The 22,783-nt window shown below is 49.5% G+C and overlaps 1 non-coding gene and 2 pseudogenes across 2 annotated transcripts in view, besides 2 other annotated features; 2 read left to right on the top strand and 1 right to left on the bottom strand.

Moving 5' to 3' along the window:
* The window catches only part of RRN3P2 (RRN3 pseudogene 2), a 41,877-nt pseudogene extending 41,091 nt beyond the window's left edge, over positions 1-786 (bottom strand). Inside the window, exon 1 of the transcript NR_003369.2 lies at positions 507-786. The product of NR_003369.2 is annotated as an RRN3 pseudogene 2 (transcript). The remainder of the gene's footprint in view (positions 1-506) is intronic.
* Positions 715-914: an enhancer, noted in NCBI's record as "active region_10655". NCBI's record gives its function as "activates an Ori minimal core promoter by ATAC-STARR-seq in GM12878 lymphoblastoid cells {active_cell/tissue: GM12878}" and the evidence as "EXISTENCE:reporter gene assay evidence [ECO:0000049][PMID:35858748]".
* PLA2G10CP (phospholipase A2 group XC, pseudogene) lies at positions 6,506-21,896 on the top strand (annotated as a pseudogene).
* Positions 9,270-9,373, top strand: LOC124903793 (small nucleolar RNA U13). Its single transcript, XR_007065238.1, has one exon. It is a non-coding gene; the product is annotated as a small nucleolar RNA U13 (small nucleolar RNA).
* Positions 13,694-13,894: a silencer, noted in NCBI's record as "peak2554 fragment used in MPRA reporter construct". NCBI's record gives its function as "represses an SCP1 promoter by STARR-seq MPRAs in K562 erythroleukemia cells {active_cell/tissue: K562}" and the evidence as "EXISTENCE:reporter gene assay evidence [ECO:0000049][PMID:32103011]".

Raw genomic sequence — 22,783 nt, 5'->3', positions numbered from 1 at the left:
ATCCTAATGACTCTGAAAGTTAAACGCCAAGAGTGCTATGGGGTTAGGGATTTTAAAAGTGGAGCAAAATAAAGACTGCTAAACAAATACGTGTGTCGAAACAAATTTCAAACAAAAAAGATGTAATATTCAATTTGCCATGAGTGACAACGTTCGGCTGATAACCCACATAGCCCAGGGAAATCCCTTCCAAATTTGGACGAAGAAGAGGGAAGGAAGAGGGGTCAAGGCGCAGAAGGCAGTACCCAGGCCTGGGAAATCACGAAGAGACACAGTCGGGAAAGGGGGCCTCCAGAACAGAGAACATACTCACTTTTCCAGGCCCCACCCATGTCTATTACCCAGTTAGGAGGAATGAGCTCATTTCTGTGAACGTGAGATGACCCTCGACCCCGTGCTCCTATCACACGCCATTAGCTTTGCCCCACATCCTTTCAATCTGCTCCTCTAAGAGCGGTCCTGAGCTTTGGTCCCAGACGCACAGAAGGAAGCGGCCTGAATCTTACCCAGTCCTCGACGCGCCCAGCATCTTGACTGCAGAGGGCGAAGCGGCCGCATCTCCCGGCAAACGCGTGTGAAGCAGCGGTGCCGCCATTGGGCCGAACTAACGCGACCGCTGCGCCTCAGGCCGGATGCCCAGCTCCTTCCAGCCACAGCCTCTGTCCCGGAAGTTGCGCGTGCCAGCGCAACCTTCAGACAATCAGGGGCCCCGTGAGCCACCGCACCCGGCCAAACTTAAATTTTTAAAAGAGGAACAGAAGTCAGCCAGACCAACAAAAGAGCGACTGGTGTTCCAAGCATAGGAAACAGAGGAAACAGAGGCCAAAACCTCGGGACTGTGGAGGATGTAGAGGGAGAGCAGGGGCTGCCCCTACTCTCAGGGAGGGGGAAAGGTTGCAACTTTGGAAACTGTACAGGCCTATCAAAAATACAAAAATATCCAGCCTGGGTGACACGGTGAAACTCCATCTCTACAAAAAACTTAAAAAATAAAAATAATAAAAATTATCTGGGTGTGATGGCACATACCTGTAGTCCCAGCTACTCGGGAGGCTGAGGATTGCTTGAGCCTGGGAGATAGCACCACTGCACTCCTGCTTGGGCAACAGAGTGAGACCCTGTCTCGAAATAAATAAATAAATTTTTTTAAATGCATATGTATGGGCCCGGCGCAGTGGCTCATGCCTGTTATCCCAACACTTTGGGAGGCCGAGGCAAGTGGATCACCTGAGGCCAGAAGTTTGAGACCAGCCTGGCCAACATGACAAAACCCTGTCTCTACTAAAAATACAAAATTAGCCAGACATGGTGGCAGTGCCTGTAATCCCAGCTACTTGGGAGGCCAAGGCAGGAGAATAGCTTGAACCCAGGAGGCAGAGGTTGCAATGAGCCAAGATTGTGCCATTGCACTCCAGCCTGGGTGAGGAGTGAAACTGTGTCTCAAAAAAAAAAAAAAAAAAGGGTGTGTGTGTGTGTGTGTGTGTGTGTGTGTGTGTGTGTTTATATGTATCTCTCTCCAGGAGTTCAAGACCAGCCTGGGCAACATATGATGGTGCATACCTGTAGTCCCAGCTACTTGAAAACTGAGGAGGGAGGATCGCTTGAGCCCTGGAGGTCAAGGCCGCAGTGAGCTGTGATTGCACCCCTGCACTCCAGCCTAGACAACAGATCTAGACCCTATTTCACAAAATAAAATACAGCAATTTGGTTTTTATGTTTTTTGTGTTTTTTTTGAGACAGAGTCTCGCTCTGTCACCCAGGCTGGAGTACAGTGTCGTGATCTCGGCTCACTGCATCCTCTGATTCCCAGGTTCAAGCGATTCTTGTGCCTCACCCTCCCCAGTAGCTAGGATTACGGGCATGCACCACCATGCCCTGCTAATTTTTGTATTTTTAGTAGAGACAGGGTTTCACCATGTTGGCCAGGCTGGTCTTGAACTCTTGACCTCAAGTGATCCACCCACCTTGGCATCCCAAAGTGCTGGGATTACAGGCATGAGCCACCACGCCCCGCCAGCAGTTTGTTAAACATAAACCATAGCTCTGTTTTGCAACAGTGTAAAATCAGTAACTGTCTTTCCTGAGTCTCTATTTGGTCCTTACTGAGTTCCTTGGGAATGTTGGACAGGAATCATCTGTGTCTCAAGGACAGAGGAAATAATTGCACCCTAGCTCACAAAGATACTTCAATACTTCAAGATAACGGTTTAAATGAGAATCTCTTCTTCACTTCCAAGGCAAAGCAAAGCAAAAACAAAAAGCAACAATAGCAAAACAGCAATTTGACAATTATCTGTTTTGTTTTGTTTTGGTTTGAGACAGGATCTCATTGTCTAGCCCAAGTTAGAGCGCAATGGCGCGATCACAGCTCGTTGCAGCCTCGGGCTCCTACAGCTTATGCAATCCTCTCACCTCAGCCTCCCAAACCCACACCACCAAGCCCAGCTAATTTTTTGTATTTTTGGTAAATACGAGGTCTCACTTTGTTGCCCAGGCTGGTCTTGAACCCCCGGCCCAAGTGATCCTCCCACCTTGGCCTCCCAAAGTGTGTCTCCCCACCTATACTCCCATTCTTTCCCTTAAAAAAAGTCTGAGTCTGGGTGCAGTGGCTCACACCTGTAATGCCAGAGCTTTGGGAGGCTGAGGCAGGAGGATAACTTGAAGCCAGGAGTTTGAGACCAGCCCAGGCAACACAGCCAGACTCCGTCTCTACAAATAACACTTTTAAAAAACTTACCCAGGATACCCAAAGGACTATAAATCGTGCTGTTTTAAAGACACATGCACACGTATGTTTATTGCGGCATTATTCACAATAGCAAAGACTTGGAACCAACCCAAATGTCCAACAATGATAGACTGCATTAAGAAAATGTGGCACATATATGCCATGGAATACTGTGCAGCCATAAAAAATGATGAGTTCACGTCCTTTGTAGGGACATGGATGAAATTGGAAATCATCATTCTCGGTAAACTATCGCAAGAACAAAAAACCAAACACTGCATATTCTCACTCATAGGTGGGAATTGAACAATGAGAACACATGGACACAGGAAGGGGAACATCACACTCTGGGGACTGTTGTGGGGTGGGGGGAGGGGGGAGGGGGGAGGGATAGCATTGGGAGATACACCTAATGCTAGATGACGAGTTAATGGGTGCAGCACACCAGCATGGCACATGTATACATATGTCACTAACCTGCACATTGTGCACATGTACCCTAAAACTTAAAGTATAATAATAATAAATAAAAAATAAAAAATAAAAAAACTTACCCAAGCATGGTGGCACATGCCTGTAGTTCCAATTATTTGGCAGACAGAGGTGGGAGAATCACTTGAACCCAGGAGTTGGAGGCTGCAGTGAGCTATGACTGCACCACGACACTCTCTGGCCTGGGTGACAAAGCAAAATCTCATCTCTTAAAAAAAAAAAAAAAGGGGAAAAAAGCTTGACATGTACAAAATAATATGTTAATGTAAGTTATAAGAACATAATGGGCCGGGCGCAGCGGCTCCCGCCTGTAATCCCAGCACTTTGGGAGGCCGAGGCAGGTGGATCACGAGGTCAGGAGATCGAGACCATCCTGGCTGACACGGTGAAACCCCGTCTCTACTAAAAATACAAAAAAAAAAAAAAAAAAAAAAAATTAGCCGGGCGTGGTGGCGGGCACCTGTAGTCCCAGCTACTTGGGAAGCTGAGGCAGGAGAATGGCATGAACCCGAGAGGTGGAGCTTGCAGTGAGCCGAGATCGCACCACTGCACCCCAGCCTGGGCAACAGAGTCAGACTCTGTCTCAAAAAAAAAAAAAAAAAAGAACATAATGAACACCTGTGAACATATCACCCAATTTAAGAAGCCGAACATTAACTAGGACAATTGACACTTACTGTGTGCTGCTCTCGGATCCCACCTTCTACCTGCTTTCCTCCCAATGGCACAATCTCAGCTTACTGCAACCTCCACCTCCCCGGTTTAAGTGATTCTCCTGCCTCAGCTGGGATTACAGGCGTGCGCCACTTGCCTGGCTAATTTTTTGTATCTTTAGTAGACATGAGGTTTCACCATGTTGGTCAGGCTGGTCTCAAACTCCTGATCTCAGATGATCTACTTGACTCAGCCCCTCAAAGTGCTGGGATTACAGACGTGAGCCACCATGCCTGGCCTAGATTTTATATTTCTTCTTAAGTTTGGTGTTTAAATACCCCTAGGAATTTGTTCCTTTCATCTAATTTGTTGGCATACAACTGTTCATAGTATTCCCTGATAATTCTTTTACTTATCTAATGTTGGTAGTGATGTCTCCTCTTTTGCTCCTGTTTTGCAGTTTGAGTCTCCTCTGCTTTTTTCTTGGTCAGTCCATCTAAAGGTTCATCAATTTTATGGATTTTTCAAAGAACCAAATTATTTTGGTTTTACTTACTTCCTCTATTTTTTATTCTCTGCTGCATTTATTTCTGCTCATCTTTATTATCTTTCTTTTTTTTTTTTTTTGAGACGAAGTCTCTTGTCGCCCAGGCTGGAGTGCAGTGGTGAGATCTCAGCTCACTGAAAACTACGCCTCCTGGGTTCGAGCGATTCTTGTGCCTCAGCCTCCTGAGTAGCTGGGACCACAGGCATGTGCCACCATGCCTGGCTAATTTTTTTATTTAGCAGAGACAGGCTTTCACCATGTTGGCCAGGATGGTGTCAAACTCCTGGCCTCAAGCTGTCTGCCCGCTTCAGCCTCCCTAAACTGGGATTACAGGTGTGAGTAATCCTCTGCCTCTGGGAGGCAGAAGTTGCAGTGAGCCAAGATCACACCACTGTACTACAGCCTGTGCAACAGAGCGAGACTCCACCTCAAAAAAAAAAAAAAATTAGCCGGACATGGTGGCACATATCTGTAGTTCCAGCTGCTTGGGGGACTGAGGCAGGGGGCTTGCTTGAGCCTAGGAGGTCAAGGCTGCTATAACCCATGTTTATGCCACTGCACTGCAGCCTGGGCAACAAAGTGAGAACCTGTCTCAAAATAAAAATAAAAATAAGTAAATAGGCCAGGCATGGTGGCGCATGCCTGTAATCCCAGCACTTTGAGAGGCTGAGGTGTGAGGATCATGAGGTCAAGAGTTTGAGACCAGCCTGGCCAACATAGTGAAACCCTGTCTCTACCAAAAATACAAAAATTAGCCAGGTGTGGTGGTGGGCACCTGTAGTCCCAGCTACTCGGGAGGCCAAAGCAGGAGAATCGTTTGAACCCGGGAGGCAGAGGTTGCAGTGAGCCGAGATCATGCCATTGCACTCCAGGCTGGGTGACAGAGTGAGACTCCGTCTCAAAAAAAAAAAAAAAAAAAAAAGGAAATAAATATAGCTTCCTAGGGGATTCTGTTTGCAGAGTGTGTCAAGAATATGAAGCCCAGAATTCAAGACTGCATTATGGACTGTGAAGGCTGAGGAGGGCTGTGAGGAAAGAGTGGGTAGGTTAAAGGAGCAGAGGCAACTGTCATGCCCTTTGGCTCTTCTATAGGAAAAGAGGAAAGAGTGAGCCTTGGGCTGTGTTTTGTGAGGGAATAGTGCCCTCCCTTTGTGGGTAAGCAAAGTTGGCTCGGAAGATGAAGACAGATGAGTCAAGAACGTCAGGGTGTCAGGGGAAGCACAAAAAGAAGGCGAAATATGCCCTTCTACACTCAAACTTGAAGGTATTCGGGGCCTGGTGGCTGGCTCTGAGGCCATGCTGAGTCCTGAAGAGGGGACCAAAGTCTTGCTTTGTGAAAACTGTCTAGACTGTCCTAGCAATTCCATTTGTTTTTGACTGTCCTAGCAATTCCATTTTTTTTTTTTTTTGACAGAATCTCACTCTTGTCGCCCAGGCTGGAGTGCAGTGGCACGATCTCAGCTCATTGCAACCTCCACTTCCTGGGTTCAAATGATTCTCCTGCCTCAGCCTCCCAAGTAGCTGGGATTACAGGCACCTGCAACTGCGCCCAGCTAATTTTTGTATTTTTGGTAGAGACAGGATTTCACCATCTTGGCCAGGCTGCTCTTGAACTACTGACCTTGTGATCCACCCACCTTGGCCTTCCAAAGTGCTGGGATTACAGGCGTGAGCCACTGTGACTGGCTTTTTTTTTTTTTTTTTTTTTTTTCTGAGACGGAGTCTCGCTCTGTCACCCAGGCTGGAGTGCAGTGGCACAGTCTCAGCTCACTACAAGCTCTGCCTCCCGGGTTCGCGCCATTCTCCTGCCTCAGCCTCCTGAGTAGCTGGGACTACAGGCGCCCGCCACTGCGCCCAGCTAATTTTTTGTATTTTTAGTAGAGATGGGGTTTCACTGTGTTAGCCAGGAGGTTCTCGATCTCCTGACCTCATGATCTGCCCGCCTCGGCCTCCCAAAGTGCTGGGATTACAGGCGTGAGCCACTGTGCCCGGCTGCCTTTTTAAATTTAAAAAACTTTTTTTTTTTTTTGAGACAGTCTCTCTGTCCCCCAGGCTGGAGTGCAGTGGCGGGAATCTCAGCTCACTGCAAACTCTACCTCCCAGGTTCAAGCAATTCTTCTGCCTCAGCCTCCCAAGTAGCTGGGATTACAGGCACACGGCACCACACCTGGCTAATTTTTGTATTTTTAGTAGAGATAGGTTTTCACCATGTTGGCCAGGCTGCTCTCGAACTCCTAACCTCAGGTGATCCTCCTGCCTCGGCCTCCCAAAGTGTGAGTACAGGCGTTAGTCACCACTGCACCTGGCCTCCATTCTCATCTTTTCTGATTGGAGAACTCGGTTCTCCAGAGCACAGAAGTAGCACTTCTTTCCCCTGGTCCCTGGAGAGTAAGGTCTTGTTCACATCTGTGCATGGGGCTCAGATCAGGGCCTGGTGCAGAGAAAGTGCACAATAAATGGGTGTTTAAGTCTGGGCATGGTGCCTCATATCTGTAATCCTAGCACTTTGGGAGGCCAATGTGGGAGGATCACTTGAGCCCAGGAATTCAAGACCAGCCTGGGCAACAAAGCAAGACCCCGATCTCTACCAAAAAATAGAAAAATTAGCCAGGTGTGGTGGCACGTTCCAGCTACCCGGGAGGCTGAGGTGAGAGGATTGCTTGAGCTGGGAGGCTTCAGTGAGCTGTGCTTGTACCACTGCACACCAGCCTGGGAGACACAGTGAGACCCTGTCTCAAAAAATATAATAAAAGTCTAAAAAATAAATGGGGGCTGGGCGTGGTGGCTCATGCCTGTAATCCCAGCACTCTGGGAGGCCAAGGTGGGCAGATCACCTGAAGTCAGGAGTTCAAGACCAGCCTGGCCAACATAGTGAAACTCTGTCTCTACTAAAAATACAAAAATTAGCTGGGCATGGTGGCGGGTGCCTGTAATCCCAGCTACTCAGGAGGCTGAGGCAGGAGAATTGCTTGAACCCAGGAGACGGAGGTTGCAGTGAGCCAAGATCACGCCACTGCACTCCAGCGTGGGCAACAGAGCAATACTCTGTCTCAAAAATAAATAAACATAGGCCAGGTGCAGTGGCTCATGCCTATAATCCCAGTACTTTCAGAGGCTGAGGCAGAAAAATCACTTGAGGTCAGAAGTTCGAGACCAGCCTGGCCAACATGGTGAACCCTCATCTCTACTAAAAATACAAAAATTAGCCAGGCATGGTGGTGCATGCCTGTAATCCAGCTACTTGGGAGGCTGAGGCAGAAGAATTGCTTGAACCCAGGAGGCAGAGGTTGCAGTGAGCCAAGATTGTGCCACTGCACTCCAGCTTGGGTGACAAAGTGAGACTTTGTCTCAATTAAAAAAATAATAAGATAGCCAGGCGTGGTGGCTCACGCCTGTAATCCCAGCACTTTGGGAGGCCAAGGCGGGCGGATCAACTGAGGTCAGGGGTTCAAGACCAGCCTGGCCAGCATGGCGAAATCCCATCTCTACTAAAAGTACCAAAATTAGCCAGGTGTTGGGGTGGGCGCCTGTAATCCCAGCTACTCAGGAGGAGGCGGCAGAATCACTTGAACCCAGGAGACGGAGGTTGCAGTGAGCTGAGATCACGCCACTACACTCCAGCCTGGGTGACAAGAGCAAGACTCCGTCTCAAAAAAATAAAATAAAATAAATAAATAAAATAAAATAACAAATGGGTGTTTAAATGAATGATGTTCATGGAATCTCTCCCCAGTGCTTTGCTTTCCACAAAGTTCTGCATGGAAGTCTCAATAAATTGTGGTTGAATGCTTGACAGTAACTGTGATGAAAGCAGAATTCACCTTTCATCACCTGGCCAGCAAATGTTTTGTTGTCTTATTATTATTATTATTATTTGAGATGGAGTCTTGCTCTGTCGCCCAGGCTGGAGTGCAGTGGCGTGATCTCGGCTCACTGCAAGCTCCGCCTCCCGGGTTCACGCCATTCTCCTGCCTCAGCCTCCCAAGTAGCTGGGACTACAGGTGCCCGCCACCATGCCCGGCTAATTTTTTTTTGTATTTTTAGTAGAGATGGGGTTTCACCGTGTTAGCCAGGATGGTCTCGATCTCCTGACCTTGTGATCCGCCCACCTCGGCCTCCCAAAGTGCTGGGATTACAGGCTTGAGCCACCGCGCCCGGCCTGCTTGTCTTATATAGTATTGACCAGTAAAATGTTTTTTTTTTTTTTTGAGCCAGAGTCTCACTCTGTCACCAGGCTGGAGTGCAGTGGCGTGATCTCGGCTCACTGCAATCTCCACCTCCTGGGTTCAAGCGATTCTTCTGCCTCAGCCTCCTGAGTAACTGGGACCACAGGCTCCCACCACCATGCCCAGGTAATTTTTGTATTTTTAGTAGAGACAGGGTTTCTTTTTTTTTCTTTCTTTCTTTCTTTTTTTTTTGGAGACGGAGTCTCGCTCTTTCACCCAGGCTGGAGCTCAGTGGCATGATCTCGGCTCACTGCAACCTCCACCTCCCAGGTTCACGCCATTCTCCTGCCTCAGCCTCCTGAGTAGCTGGGACTACAGGTGCCCGCCACCACACCCGGCTAATTTTTTGTATTTTTAGTAGAGATGGGGTTTCACCATGTTAGCCAGGATGGTCTCGATCTCCTGACCTTGTGATCCACCCACCTCGGCCTCCCAAAGTGCTGGGATTACAGGCTTGAGCCACCGCACCCGGCCCGTAGAGACAGGGTTTCACCATGTTGACCAGTATGGTCTCGATCTCCTGACCTCAGGTGATCCACCTGCCTCGGCCTCCCAAAGTGCTGGGATTACAGGAGTGAGCCACCGGGCCTGGCCAAGATGTCTTTCAAATAATTAAAGCCACATCTTTTTGTAGTTCATAAACGTGATGACTGTGTTTCCATGCTCATGCGTGAGTTGCACCTCCCTCAAACCTTGTTTTGACATTGACACATTATCTGCCTGATGTAAAAATAATGAAATCCAATATACTAAGATCAGGAGATTTCACAATAAAATCCCAATTTCTGTTTCTTTTAAAAAATCAGGCCAGCCATGATGGCTTATGCCTGGAATTCCAGCACTTTGGGAGGCGCAGGCAGAAGGATCACTTGATCCTGGAAGTTCAAGATCAGCATGGTTAACACAGGGAGACCTGGTCTCAATTTAAAAATTAGCTGGGCATGGCACTTTGGGAGACTGAGGCAGGTGGATCACCCGAGATCAGAAGTTTGAGACCAGCTTGGCCAATATGGTGAAACCTCATCTCTGTATTAAAAAAAAAAAAAAAATTAGCCAGTTGTGGTAATGAGCGCCTGTAATCCCAGCTACTCGAGAGGCTGAGGCAGGGGAATCACTGGAACCTGGGAAGTGGAGGTTGCAGTGAGCCAAGATCTCGCCATTGCATTTGAGCCTGGGTAACAGAGTGAGACTCTGTCTCAAAACAAACAAACAAACAAACAAAAACATTAGCCATAGCCCCAGTTATCTGGAGGCTGAGATGGAGGCTGAGAACCCACGAGTTCGTTCAAGGCTGCAGTGAGCTATCATTGCACTCCAGCCAGGATGACAGAGCAAGACCCTGTCTCAAAATAAAATAAATACTTTGGGAGGCCAAAGTGGGCAGATCACCTGAGGTCAGGAGTTCGAGACCAGCCAGGTCAACATGGCGAAACCCATCTCTACTAATAAAATACAAAAATTAGCCAGGCATGGTGGTGTGTGCCTATAATCCCAGCTACCCAGGAGGCTGAGGCAAGAGAATCACTTGATCCCAGGAGGCAGAGGTTGCAGTAAGCCGAGATTGTGCCACTGCACTCCAGCCTGGGCAACAAGAGCAAAACCCCATCTCAAATAAATAAATAAATAGAAATAAATAAATAAAATGGTTACTTTATGTTATTTCACCTCAATAATTTTAAGTAAAATAAAATTAGATAACTGATAGCCAGGCATGGTGGTGGATGCCTGTAATCCCAGCTACTCAGGAGGCTGAGGCAGGAGAATCGCTTGAATCCGAGGCAGAGGCTGCAGTGAGCCAAGATCACGCCACTGCACTCCAGCCTGGGTGACAGAGCAAGACTCCGTCTCAAAAAAAAAAAAAATTTAGATAACTGATTAGAAGGTACTGAAGTTTGCCATCCTTTGGAAACGATCCTCTTCATTAGAAAGATGAGGATCCTGAGGCCCTACAAGGGAAGTGTCAGGTCAGTGGAAGAGACTGAAAGGGAAGTTTGGTTCCCACCCCGGCAGCACAGTCGCTGCCTCCTCTCCCCTTTACTTAGGCTATGAACTCTGGTGTGATACAGACCACAACCCGTTCACCATAGGTTACACCCCACATCTGGCTCGGACCCTGGCACTTGAACTGTCAGCCTCCAAGTAGCTGGGACAATAGGCCAGCTCAACAAATGCCCCCTGCTCATTAAAATTTTTTTTTTGTAGAGTTGGGGTCTTGTTATGTTGCCCAGGGTGGTCTCAAATTCCTGATCTCAAGCAATTCTCGCCTTGGCCTCCCAAAGTGCTGAGATTACAGGCATGAGCCACTGTACACAGTCTTGATGTATTACCTTTTATTTTTTAAAAAATTTTTATAAAGACGGGTGTCACCATGTTGTCCATGCTGGTCTCAAACTCCTGGGCTCAGGCAATCCTCCCGACTTGGCCTCCCAAAGGGCTGGGATTACTGGTGTGAGCCGTGCCTGGCTTGCTTTTTTTGTTTTTGTTTTTGAGATGGAGTCTCACTGTTGCTCAGGCTGGAGTGCAGTGGCGCAATCTCGGCTCACTACAACCTCCGCCTCCTGAGTTCAAAGGATTCTCCCGTCTCAGCCTCCCGAGTAGCTGGGATTACAGGTGTGTGCCACCACACCTGGCTTATTTTTGTATTTTTAGTAGAGATGGGGTTTCACCATGTTGGCCAGGATGGTCTTGATCTCCTGACCTCATGATCCACCTGCCTACGTCTGGCTTTTTTAATTAAAAAAAAAATTTTTTAAGTACTTTTTTTCTTTTGAGATGGAGTCTCACTCTGTCACCCAGGCTGGAGTGCAATGGCACAATCGTGGCTCACTGCAACCTCCACCTCTTGGGTTCAAGCAATTCTCCTGTCTTAGCCTCCCAAGTAGCTTGGACTACAGTCATGCACCACTATGCCTGGCTAATTCTTGTATTTTTAGTAGAGATGGGGTTCCACCATGTTGGTCAGGCTGGTCTCGAACTCCTGATTTTGTGATCCACCTGCCTCAGCCTCCCAAAGTGCTGGGATTACAGGCATGAGCCACCATGCCCAGCCTAAAGTACTTTTCATTAGAGACAGTACTTTATTCAAACTGCTTCTCTTCTCGTGCTTTTGTGTCTTGAGACAGTCTGTCTGTCACCCAGGTTGGAATGCAGTGGTGTGATGACAGCTCACTGAAGCCTCGACCTTCCAGGCTCAGGTGATCCTCCCACCTCAGTCTTCTGAGTTGCTGGGACTATAGGTGTGTGCCACCATGCCTGGTGGATGTATGACTGTTTATGTAGGAACGTCTGTTAATTGTAAATTTCCTCCAAAACCACCCTGTTGTTGCAGAAATGACAGGCTGTGAGCACTGTAGCCACCTATACATTCCTTCCAGAGCACTATGCTTTTGCTCCAAGACATAAGCGGTAGGTCTTGGGGCTGTGGTGTGGAGATCTGTCATGGCGCAGCCCAAGACCATGCTTTTGTGTGTAAGTTCCTTAATAAATCACCCAAAACTGACAAACTGGATTTGTCTGCTTCCTTTTTTTTTTTGGCTCCTTTGGCATGAGGGTCACTTGGCATATACGGCCCTTTCACGGAATGCACAGCAACTCCAACAAAGAGAGATGATTCTTTCACAGATGAAGCCGCTGAGGCTTAGAGAAGCGAGATTGTCCCAAGGGTGGCAGCTTCTAAGGGAAGGGCTGGAATGTGAACCCAGGCATCTTGACTTGAGCCTTGTCCTTTTGGCCCCTATGCCCTCCCACCTTCCAACCCAGGGGATTAGCTAAAATTTAGGAAAGCAGTTCATGTTATTTAAAGGGAGGGGAGGCTGGGCATGGTGGCTCATGCCTGTAATCCCAGCACTTTGGGACGCTGAGGCGGGCAGATCACTTGAGGCCAGGAGTTCAAGACCAGTCTGGCCAACATGGTGAAAACCCATCTGTACTAAAAATATGAAAATTAGCCGGGTGTGGTGGCGAGTGTCTGTAGTCCCAGCTACTCGGGAGGCTGAGATTGCAGTGAGCTGAGATTGCACCACTGAACTCCAACCTGGGTGACAGGGCAAGACTCTGTCTATAAAATAAATAAATTATAAAATAAATAAAATTTCAGAAAGCAGCTCACTTTATGTAAAGGGACAGGAAACAGCAACAGATGACATAGATATAGGATGATTCCAGTCTAGTAATAAATATACACACACCAGAAAGAGAGGCATTAAAATGTTAACGGTAGTTAACAGCCTGGGCGACAGAGCGGAGACCCTGTCTCAAAAAAAAAAAAAAAAAGTTAAGAAAAGGAGTGACAATCCACGTGTGGCCCACAAAGCTTAAAATATATACTATCTAGCCCTGGGCAGAAAAGGGTTTGACAATGCTGTTCAAAGGTCACCATTGGTAGATTGGAAACTGAAAAAGGTATATACCCTGGCATTGGACAACACAATGGCTGTGCCTCCTGCCTAAGAATGCTGAACTGGCCAAGTGAGGTACTTGGCAGCCCAGCCCTGAAATGCATAAGCTCTCCAGCCTTTTCATCACTGCTCCTCCCTGGTTCTTAACCTCTGGCCACTCGATCCTCTGGCTTCCCTTCCACCAAGCACTCGCACGTTGAGTCCAGTCCCTAGGCCTCTCCTCTAGGCTGCCCCCTCTGGAAATGTAAGCAGCACCAGGTATAAGAGCCAGGCACAGGCTGCCTTGACGTGCACCTAGCCCCCTTACTTCCCCATTGTGTGGAAGGTAAATCACTTCTCTTTGGGTCTGTTTTCCCATCTACAAGTTGGGAATGACAATAGGGTTATTCTGAGATTAAGTGAGATAAGGCAGCTAAAGCACGCAGTATGGAAGTGGTCAACATGCTGGCTCTGATGTCAGCCACGACCAGACTTCGGGTAACTATTTATAAGTCATTCCCTTCAAAACCTTTCTCTCTGTTCTTTCTCTTCTGTGACAGACTAATACTTGTGCCCCTTCCCTTCATTTAGAAACAAAATGACCCAAGTTTAAATGAACATGTAACTATCCAGCTAGAGGCATTTTAGTCTCGCATATAGGGTGGTAAGAAGGTGAGACTAAGTTCTGGCCAATGGGATCAGTGTAATTTCCAGGCCCTGTATTTCCGCTTCCTTTTGCATGGGCTTGAACGAGGACTTGGGGCTGGTGAGCCGCTTTAACCACACAGATGACAACCTTGGGGATGCAAGAGCAACATGACAGCGCAGCCCTGGGTCCCTAGATGATTTTGCATAACGGTTGTTGTCTAACCCTAACCCTGGACCAATCACCTCTGAACTGTCACATGAGAAATAAGCTATTTTGCTGAGTCACTGTTTGGGGCTCCTTGTGACAGAAGCTGAGTCTAGAATCTAGTTAGTGCACGTCAGAAGGCTTCTCTTCAACTTCAGTATCAGTCCGCCCTCCATATGTGCTGTTCTTGTACTTCTGAACACAAAGAATATTCCAGCTATTTCTTGAAAACAGTCATATTTGTTTATCCTCCAGTCAGGAGAATGTGTCATTCTTGACTCCTTCAACTCCCGAATCCACTGGTCACAGTAGCTTCAGTTTTTTACATCTGCACCTCTTCAATCCTCCCCCCACCTCTGACCCCAGGCACCCTGACTTCAGATGGTTTTTTTTTTTTTTTGGGCTTCATGCTCTTTGCTTCCAATTTCATAGTCTTACACAATGATGCTTCATTCTCTTAAAATGGAATCCATTCATGTTATTTTGTTACCTTTTTTTAGAGACAGGGTCTTGCTCTATTCCCCAGGCTGGAGTGCAGTGGTATAATCATAGCTCACTGTACCCTTTACTTAAATAGACCTTAAGTTCCTGGGCTCAAGTGATCCTCCTGCCTCAGTCTCCCCAGCAGCTTGGACTACTGGCACACACAACCATGTCCGGCTAAATTTTAATTTTTTGTCCTCTCCCTCCCCCTCCCCCTTCCTCTCCCACTTTCCACAGTCTCCCTCTGATGCCGAGCCGAGGCTGGACTGTACTGCCACCATCTCGGCTCACTGCAACCTCCCTGCCTCATTCTCCTGCCTCAGCCTGCCAAGTGCCTGGGATTGCAGGCACGCGCCATCTGTGTTTTTTGGTGGAGACGGGGTTTCGCCGTGTTGGCCGGGCTGGTCTCCAGCTCCTGACCGCTAGTGATCCGCCAGCCTCGGCCTCCCGAGGTGCTGGGATTGCAGACGGAGTCTCCTTCACTCAGTGCTCAATGGTGCCCAGGCTGGAGTGCAGTGGCATGATCTCGGCTCGCTACAACCTCCACCTCTCAACCGCCTGCCTTGGCCTCCCAAAGTGCCGAGATTGCAGCCTCTGCCCAGCCGCCACCCCGTCGGGGAAGTGGGGAGCGTCTCTGCCTGGCCGCCCATCATCTGGGATGTGAGGAGCCCCTCTGCCTGGCTGCCCAGTCTGGAAAGTGAGGAGCCTCTCTGCCCGGCCGCCATCCCATCTAGGAAGTGAGGAGCGCCTCTTCCCGGCCGCGACCCCGTCTGGGAGGTGAGGAGCGTCTGAGAAGTGAGGAGACCCTCTGCCTGGCGACCGCCCCGTCTGAGAAGTGAGGAGCCCCTCCGCCCGGCAGCCGCCTCGTCTGAGAAGTGAGGAGCCCCTCCGCCCGGCAGCCACCCCGTCTGGGAAGTGAAGAGCGTCTCCGCCCGGCAGCCACCCCGTCCGGGAGGGAGGTGGGGGTCAGCCCCCCCGCCCGGCCAGCCGCCCCGTCTGGGAGGGAGGTGGGGGAGTCAGCCCCCCCGCCCGGCCAGCCGCCCCACCCGGGAGGGAGGTGGGGGGATCAGTCCCCCGCCCAACCAGCCGCCCCACCCGGGAGGGAGGTGGGGGGGTCAGCCCCCCACCCGGCCAGCCGCCCTGTCCGGGAGGTGAGGGGCGACTCTGCCCGGCCGCCCCTACTGGGAAGTGAGGAGCCCCTCTGCCCGGCCGCCACCCCGGCTGGGAGGTGTGCCCAACAGCTCATTGAGAACGGGCCATGATGACAGTGGCGGTTTTGTGGAATAGAAAGGGGGGAAAGGTGGGGAAAAGATTGAGAAATCGGATGGTTGCCGTGTCTGTGTAGAAGGAAGTAGACATGGGAGACTTTTCATTTTGTTCTGTAGTAAGAAAAATTCTTCTGCCTTGGGATCCTGTTGATCTGTGACCTTACCCCAACCCTGTGCTCTCTGAAACATGTGCTGTGTCCACTCAGGGTTAAATGGATTAAGGGTGGTGCAAGATGTGCTTTGTTAAACAGATGCTTGAAGGCAGCATGCTCGTTAAGAGTCATCACCACTCCCTAATCTCAAGTACCCAGGGACACAAACACTGCAGAAGGCCGCAGGGTCCTCTGCCTAGGAAAACCAGAGACCTTTGTTCACTTGTTTATCTGCTGACCTTCCCTCCGCTATTGTCCTATGACCCTGCCAAATCCACCTCTGCGAGAAACACCCAAGAATGATCAATAAAAAAAAAAAAAAAAAAAAAAAAAAACATGGTTTCTCCATGTTGGTCAGGCTGGTCTGGAACTCCTGACTTCAGGTGATCTGCCCACCTTGGCCTCCCAAAGTGCTGGGATTACAGGCATGAGCCACTGTGCCTGGCCCCAAATGTGTTTTACATTTTCTTCCTATTTGATTCATCTTTGTCCTGCAACATAAATATGCTACTTTTCCACCGATAAAAAGACAAAATGGAATTTAAATCTGGCCTGGACTTCTCAAAAAAGTCAGTGTGATGAAAACATGTTCTAGATAAAACAGAAATGAGACTGGGCATGGTGGCTCATGCCTGGAATCCCAGCGCCTTCGGAGGCCAAGGCAGGAGAATCACTTGAGGCCAGGAGTTTGTGAACAGCCTGGGCAACATAGTGAGACCCCAGATCTACTAAAAATTTAAAAATTAGCTGGGCATGGTGGTGCATGCCCATATGTCTGGAGGCTGAGGCAGGAGGATCGCTTGAGCCCAGGATTTGGAGGCTGCAGTGAGCTATGATTGTGCCACTGCACTCCAGTGTGGGTGACAGAGTGAGACCCTGTCTCTAAAAAAAAAAAGAGAGACGAGATGATCAGGATGAGCGCAGTGGCTCACGCCTATAATCCCAGCACTTTGGGAGGCCAAACCAGGTGGATCATATGAGGTCAGGAGTTCAAGACCAGCCTGGCCTAGATGGTGAAACCCCGTTTCTACTAAAAATACAAAAATCAGCTGGGTGTGGTGGCGCACACCTGTGATCCCAGCTACTCGGGAGGCTGAGGCGGGACAATTGCTTGAACCTGGGAGGCAGAAGTTGCTGTGAGCAAGATTACACCACTGTGCTGCAGCCTGGGCAACAGGAATGAGACTCTGTCTCAAAAAAAAAAAAAGGGGGGGATGATCAAACACAATGCATCAACCTCCCGGAGCCATATAAACCCTAACCCTAACCCAGGAAGCAGGCAAGCCTGTGTGTGAGTTTCCACTCTATTGCTGGTACCACTCGGCTCTGGCAACCCAGAAGGCCACCTTCCCCTGTTGTTACTGTGTAAGGAGGAAGGAGCACTGGTTTGCAAGTCAGAAGCCTGGGTTGAAGCCTCTGCTTGGGTTCCTGCTGGCTGTGGGAATGTGGGGTTACCTTTCCCAGCTGGCCTCGTTTCCTTCATGTCCAATGCAGGGGTTCCAGTCACATGCGTTGGGCACCATTACATGTCCAAGCTGTGCCAGGATCTAGAAAAATGGCTGGACTCAGGCCAAGGGGCCTTCCTGTCTGGCAGTGAAAATAAGAGGAGATACCAAGGGCCCTGAGTCTGGAGGGGAAGTCATGAGCACAGGGCAGTGCCAGGGCCCGGGAGCTGCCACAGAGGAGCCCACCTTGGTGACAGACACCTGTAGGCACATCCGTGATGCCCAGTGCCCAACACAGGGAACTGGACAAACGTTTCATGCACGACTCTTTTTTCCCTTCTTGGCTACCTTGAGGACCTTGATTATAATAGTTATCCTTTTTTTCTTTTTCTTTTTTTGAGACTCTTGCTCTGTCGTCCAGGTTGGAATGCAGTGGCAAAATCTTGGCTCACTGCAATCTTCACCTCTCAGGTTCAAGTGACTCTCCTTCCTCAGCCTCCCTAGTAGCTGGGATTACCGGTGTGCACCACTAGGCTCAGCTAATTTTTGTATTTTTACTACAGATGGGGTTTCACCATGTTGGCCAGGCTGATCTTGAACTGCTGACCTCAGGTGATCTGCCCACCTGGGCCTCCCAAAGTCTTGGGATTACAGGTGTGAGCCACTGAGCCCAGCCGGATTATAATAGCCTTTTCATGCACCAGGGGCTTTATACTCATTATCTCATTTCATTCATATGAGTTGAAGTCAGCTTATCCCCCATTTCACAGATGAGGAAACCAAGGCCCAGAGAGGTTAGGAATTCGTCCAAGGTCACACAGCTAGGAAGTAGGATTCAAACCCAGACAGCCAGGCTGTAACACCTAGGCTCTTCTCAGGCTCATGCCCTTCCCAGGGGTCTGGGAAGCCCTGACCTGCAGCCTGTCACCTTTGTTTACCCCCCAGCCTCCAGGATATTATGTGTGCACCGGCGTGGGATCCTGGAACTGGCAGGAATTGTGGGTTGTGTTGGTCCCTAGACTCCCATCGCCTATACGAAATATGGTTCCTTTTGTGGCTTGGGAGGCCATGGCCAGCCCTGCGATGCCATTGACTGGTGAGTGCATGCCTGGGACCAGGCTACAAAATCCCTCACACTCTGGGGTAGTCAAGGCTTATGAGGAAGTACCCAAAACTGAAGCTGGGATTTGGTCCAGGGAGATCCCAGTGTGCAGTACTACTTTGCAGGCAGGCAGAGGCCTCTTGGATAACATGGCCAGTGAAGCCAGATCTTGGTACCAGCTGCCCCTTACCCTGGCCATGGGCTGAAAACGTTGCCTTAAAAAATTGGCCAGGAGCGGTGGCTAACTCCTGTAATCCCAGCACTTTGGGAGGCCGAGGTGGGCAGATCACTTGAGGTCAGGAGTTCAAGACCAGCCTGGCCAATATGGTGAAACCCCATCTCTACTAAAAATGCAAAAATTAGCTGTGTGTGGTGGCAGGCGTCTGTAATCTCAGCTACTCGGGAGACTGAGGCAGGAGAATTGCTTGAACCCGGGAGGTGGAGTTTGCAGTGAGTTGAGATTGCACCGCTGTATTCCAACCTGGACAACAGTGCCAAACCCTGTCTCAAAAGAAAAAAATAATAATAATATAAAGTGGCCAGGTGTGTTGACTCATGCCTGTAATCCCACCACTTTGGGTCGAGGCAGGAGGATCACTGGAGCCCAGGAGTTTGAAACGAGCCTAGGCAACAGAGTGAGACCCTGTCTCTATATTAAACACAAACACAAACACACACACACACACACACACACACACACACACACACACAAACAAACAAAGGCAGCCAGACTATGCACTAGGAACTGCCCTGGGAATCCCTTTGTGTTCTCACAACAATCCCATTTCACAGATGAAGAAACCTAGGCACAGAAATATTCAGTAACGTGTCCAGGTGCGGTGGCTCACGCCTGTAATCCCAGTACTTTGGGAGGCTGAGGCAGGCAGATCACGAGGTCAGGAGTTCGAGACCATCCTGGCCAACATGGTGAAACCCTGTCTCTACTAAAAATACAAAAATTAGCTGGATGTGGTGGCAGGTTCCTGTAATTCCAGCTACTCAGGAAGCTGAGGCAGGAGAATTGCTTGAACCCGGGAGGCGGAGGTTGCAGTGAGCCGAGATCACACCACTGCACTCCAGCCTGGGTGACAGAGCAAAACTCCGTCTGAAAAAAAAAAAAAAAAGAAGAAGAAGAAATACTAAGTAACTTGTCTGAGGCCACTTAGTTACCAAGACGTGGGAGCTGGGACTTGAACCCAGGCAGTCTGCAGTCTGACTGGATTCATGCCTGCAGCCTCTGCACTCCTGCTACTTACTGTGTGAGAAGCGCCTGTTCTGTGGAAGGTTGTGGGCTGAGATCTTTCCATGAGTTCCACTCATTTACCCCCAAGGCTGTTCTTAAAGACGGGCATGACAGTTATGCCCATTTTACAGATGGGGCCCTGAGGCTCACAGGGGCATGCCACTCACCCATTTCCACAAAGCTATAGTTAGTTAGCAGAGGGCAGAATTCGGCCGCCTCTCCCCTAGCTTGAAGGCTGTGATTGACACAGAGGTTTTTTTGTTGTGGCTGTTGTTTGTTCCTTTTTCTTTTTTTTGAGACAGGGTCTTGCTCTGTCATCCCGGCTGGAGTGCAGTGGTGCGATGTCAGCTCACTGCAAACTCTGCCTCCAAGATGCAAATGATTCTCGTGCCTCAGCCTCCCAAGTAGCTGGAATTACAGGTGTGCACTACCACGCCCAGCTGTTTTTTGTAGAGATGGGGTTAGTAGAGATTTGTTTTATAGAGACGGGGTTTCACCATGGTCTCTACTAAACCCTGTCTCTACTAAAAATACAAAAATTACCCAGGCGTGGTGGCACATGCCTGTAGTCCCAGCTACTCAAGAGGCTGAGGCAGGAGAATCACTTGAACCTGGGAGGTGGAGGTTGCAGTGACCCAAAATCATGCACTCTAGCCTGGGGTCTCGCTTTTGCCCAGGTTAGAGTGCAGTGGCACAATCATAGTGGCTCACTGCAGCCTCAAACTCCTGGGCTGGAGGGAATCCTCCCACCTCAGCCTCCCAAGTAGCTAGGACTATAGGCATGTGCCATCATGGCGAGTTAATTTTTTGTGTGTTTTTATTGTCTTGAGACAGAGTCTTGCTCTGTTGCTCAGGCTGGACTGCAGTGGCATGATCTTGGCTCACCGCAACCTCCACCTCCTGGGTTCAAGCAACTCTCCTACCTCAGCCTCCCGAGTAGCTGGGATTACAGGTGCGTGCCACCATGCCTGGCTAATTTTGTATTTTTAGTAGAGACAGGGTTTCACCATGTTGGTCAGGCTGCTCTCGAACTCCTGACCTCGTGATCCACCTGCCTCGGCCTCTCAAAGTGTTGGGATTACAGGCATGAGCCACTGAGCCTGGCCTGGTGAGCTAATTTTTAAATTTGTTATAGAGACAAGAGTCTCTCTTATGTTGCTCAGGCTGGTCTCGACCCCCTGGCCTCAAGTGATCCTCCCACCTCAGCCTCCCAAAGTGCTGGGATTACAGATGGGTGTCACCGCACCTGGCCTCTGAGGAGGATTTCATTATAAACCTGCCCTGAAGGGAGGGAATCCAATTTTACGAGAGGGTGTAACCTGGTGAGGCCTGGATGACCTCCGGAGGCAGGGGCTTGTGCCTGGGCTGAGGCCTAAGGGACAATGGGCAGACATGAAGTTGCCCCAGGCAGAGGGTACAGTGTGGGCAAGGTCAGGAAGTGGCAGGGCTTGGATCACTCCAGGAAGAGAGAGGAGTCATGTGTCACAGGAGCTCGAGACCCAGAGAGTGAGGCAGGCAGGCAGGGACCAAGCTTGGGCACAGCCAGGAAGGCAGGACAGGGCATGGTGGGGCCAATGGAATCATTATCGAAGTCGGGGATTTTCAGGGAAACAGCTTAGATAAGGCCAGGCGTACAGTAGCTCCCACCTGTAATCCCAGCATTTGGGGAGGCTGAGGTAGGAGGACTGCTTGAGCCTGGGAGTTCGAGACCAGCCTAGGCAACATAGACCCCATATCCACAAAAAATTTAAAAAAGGAGTTTGTGTTCCTGTAGTAGCATACTTGGGAGGTTGAGGTGGCAGTATCACTTGAGCCCGGGAGTTCAAGGCTAAAGTGAGCTGATGGAGCCATTGCACCCCAGCCTGAGCAACAGAGAGATACGCTGTCTCAAAGGAAATACAAATTAAAAAACCAGCCGGGCATGCTGGCGTGTGCCTGTAGTCTCAGCTACTTGGGACACTGAAGTAGGAGGATCGCTTGAGCCCAGGAGTTCAAGGCTGCCGTGAGCTATGATTGTGCCTCTGCAGTCCAGCCTGGGCGACAGAGAAAGACCCTGTCTCTTAAAAAAAAAAAAAAAAAAAAAAAAAAAAAAAAAAAAACTTAGATAAGAGGATGCTGTGCCTCCCTGGGGGTCTTCAGTCACCCATGGTCCTGGCAAGAGAGGAGGGCCAGGAGAGAGCTTCACCCACCTGCTGTCCTGCCCATGTGACATCCGCAGGTGCTGCCATGGCCACGACTGTTGTTACACTCGAGCTGAGGAGGCCGGCTGCAGCCCCAAGACAGAGCGCTACTCCTGGCAGTGCGTCAATCAGAGCGTCCTGTGCGGTGAGTCCCCAGCAGCACCATGCCACCCACCCCGAGTATCCCCTGGGCACCCTGGCATAGCCAGATGACTTCCGTGCCCGTTGCAATAACCACTGCTTCCAACTCTCTATAGAACACCCCTTGGGTATATCTAATGTAAGTGATATTTATTTTATTTATTTTTTGAGTCAGAGTCTCGCTCTGTCACCCAGGCTAGAGTGTGCTGACGTGATCTTGGCTCACTACAACCTCTGCCTCCTGGGTTCAAGCGATTCTCATGCCTCAGCCTCCCAAGTGGCTGGGACTACAGGCATGCACCATCACGCCCAGCTAATTTTTGTATGTTTTTCAGTAGAGGTGGGGTTTCACCAAGTTGGCCGGGCTGGTCTCAAACTCCCCACCTCAAGTGCTCTGCCCGCCTCGGCCTCCCAAAGTGCTGGGATTACAGGCATGAGTCGTGGTGTCTGGCCCTAATGTGAGTGATCTTTAACAATGAGGACTTGAAAAAGAAAACCCTGAAGAAACCTAATTCTTTGATGTCTGGACGACAAGGAAGAAGATAGAAATGGCATCAGATAATAAACAGTGTAAATGTTTATCAGAAAGAGGCTGGTGGTCGGGACCAGTAGGAGGATCGCTTGAGTCCAGGAGTGCATCTCTACAAAAAAGTTAAAGGATTTTTTAACATTGGCCAGGCGTGGTGGCACACATCTGTGATCCCAGCTACTTGGGAGGCTGAGGCAGGAGGATTGCTTGAAGCCCAGGAGGTTGAGGCTGCAGTGAGCTGTGATCGAGCCACTGCACTCCAGCCTGGGTGACAGAGCAAAACCCAGTCTCAAAAAATAATAATAATAATAATAATATTTTACATAACCAACCACTTCTAAAGATTTAAAAAAAAACCCTACAA

Source organism: Homo sapiens, chromosome 16 (genome assembly GCF_000001405.40).
Source record: "Homo sapiens chromosome 16, GRCh38.p14 Primary Assembly".
Lineage (NCBI taxonomy): Eukaryota > Metazoa > Chordata > Mammalia > Primates > Hominidae > Homo > Homo sapiens.
The sequence above is the reverse complement of the archived record's forward strand: the minus strand, read 5'-3'. Positions and strand labels throughout refer to the sequence as shown.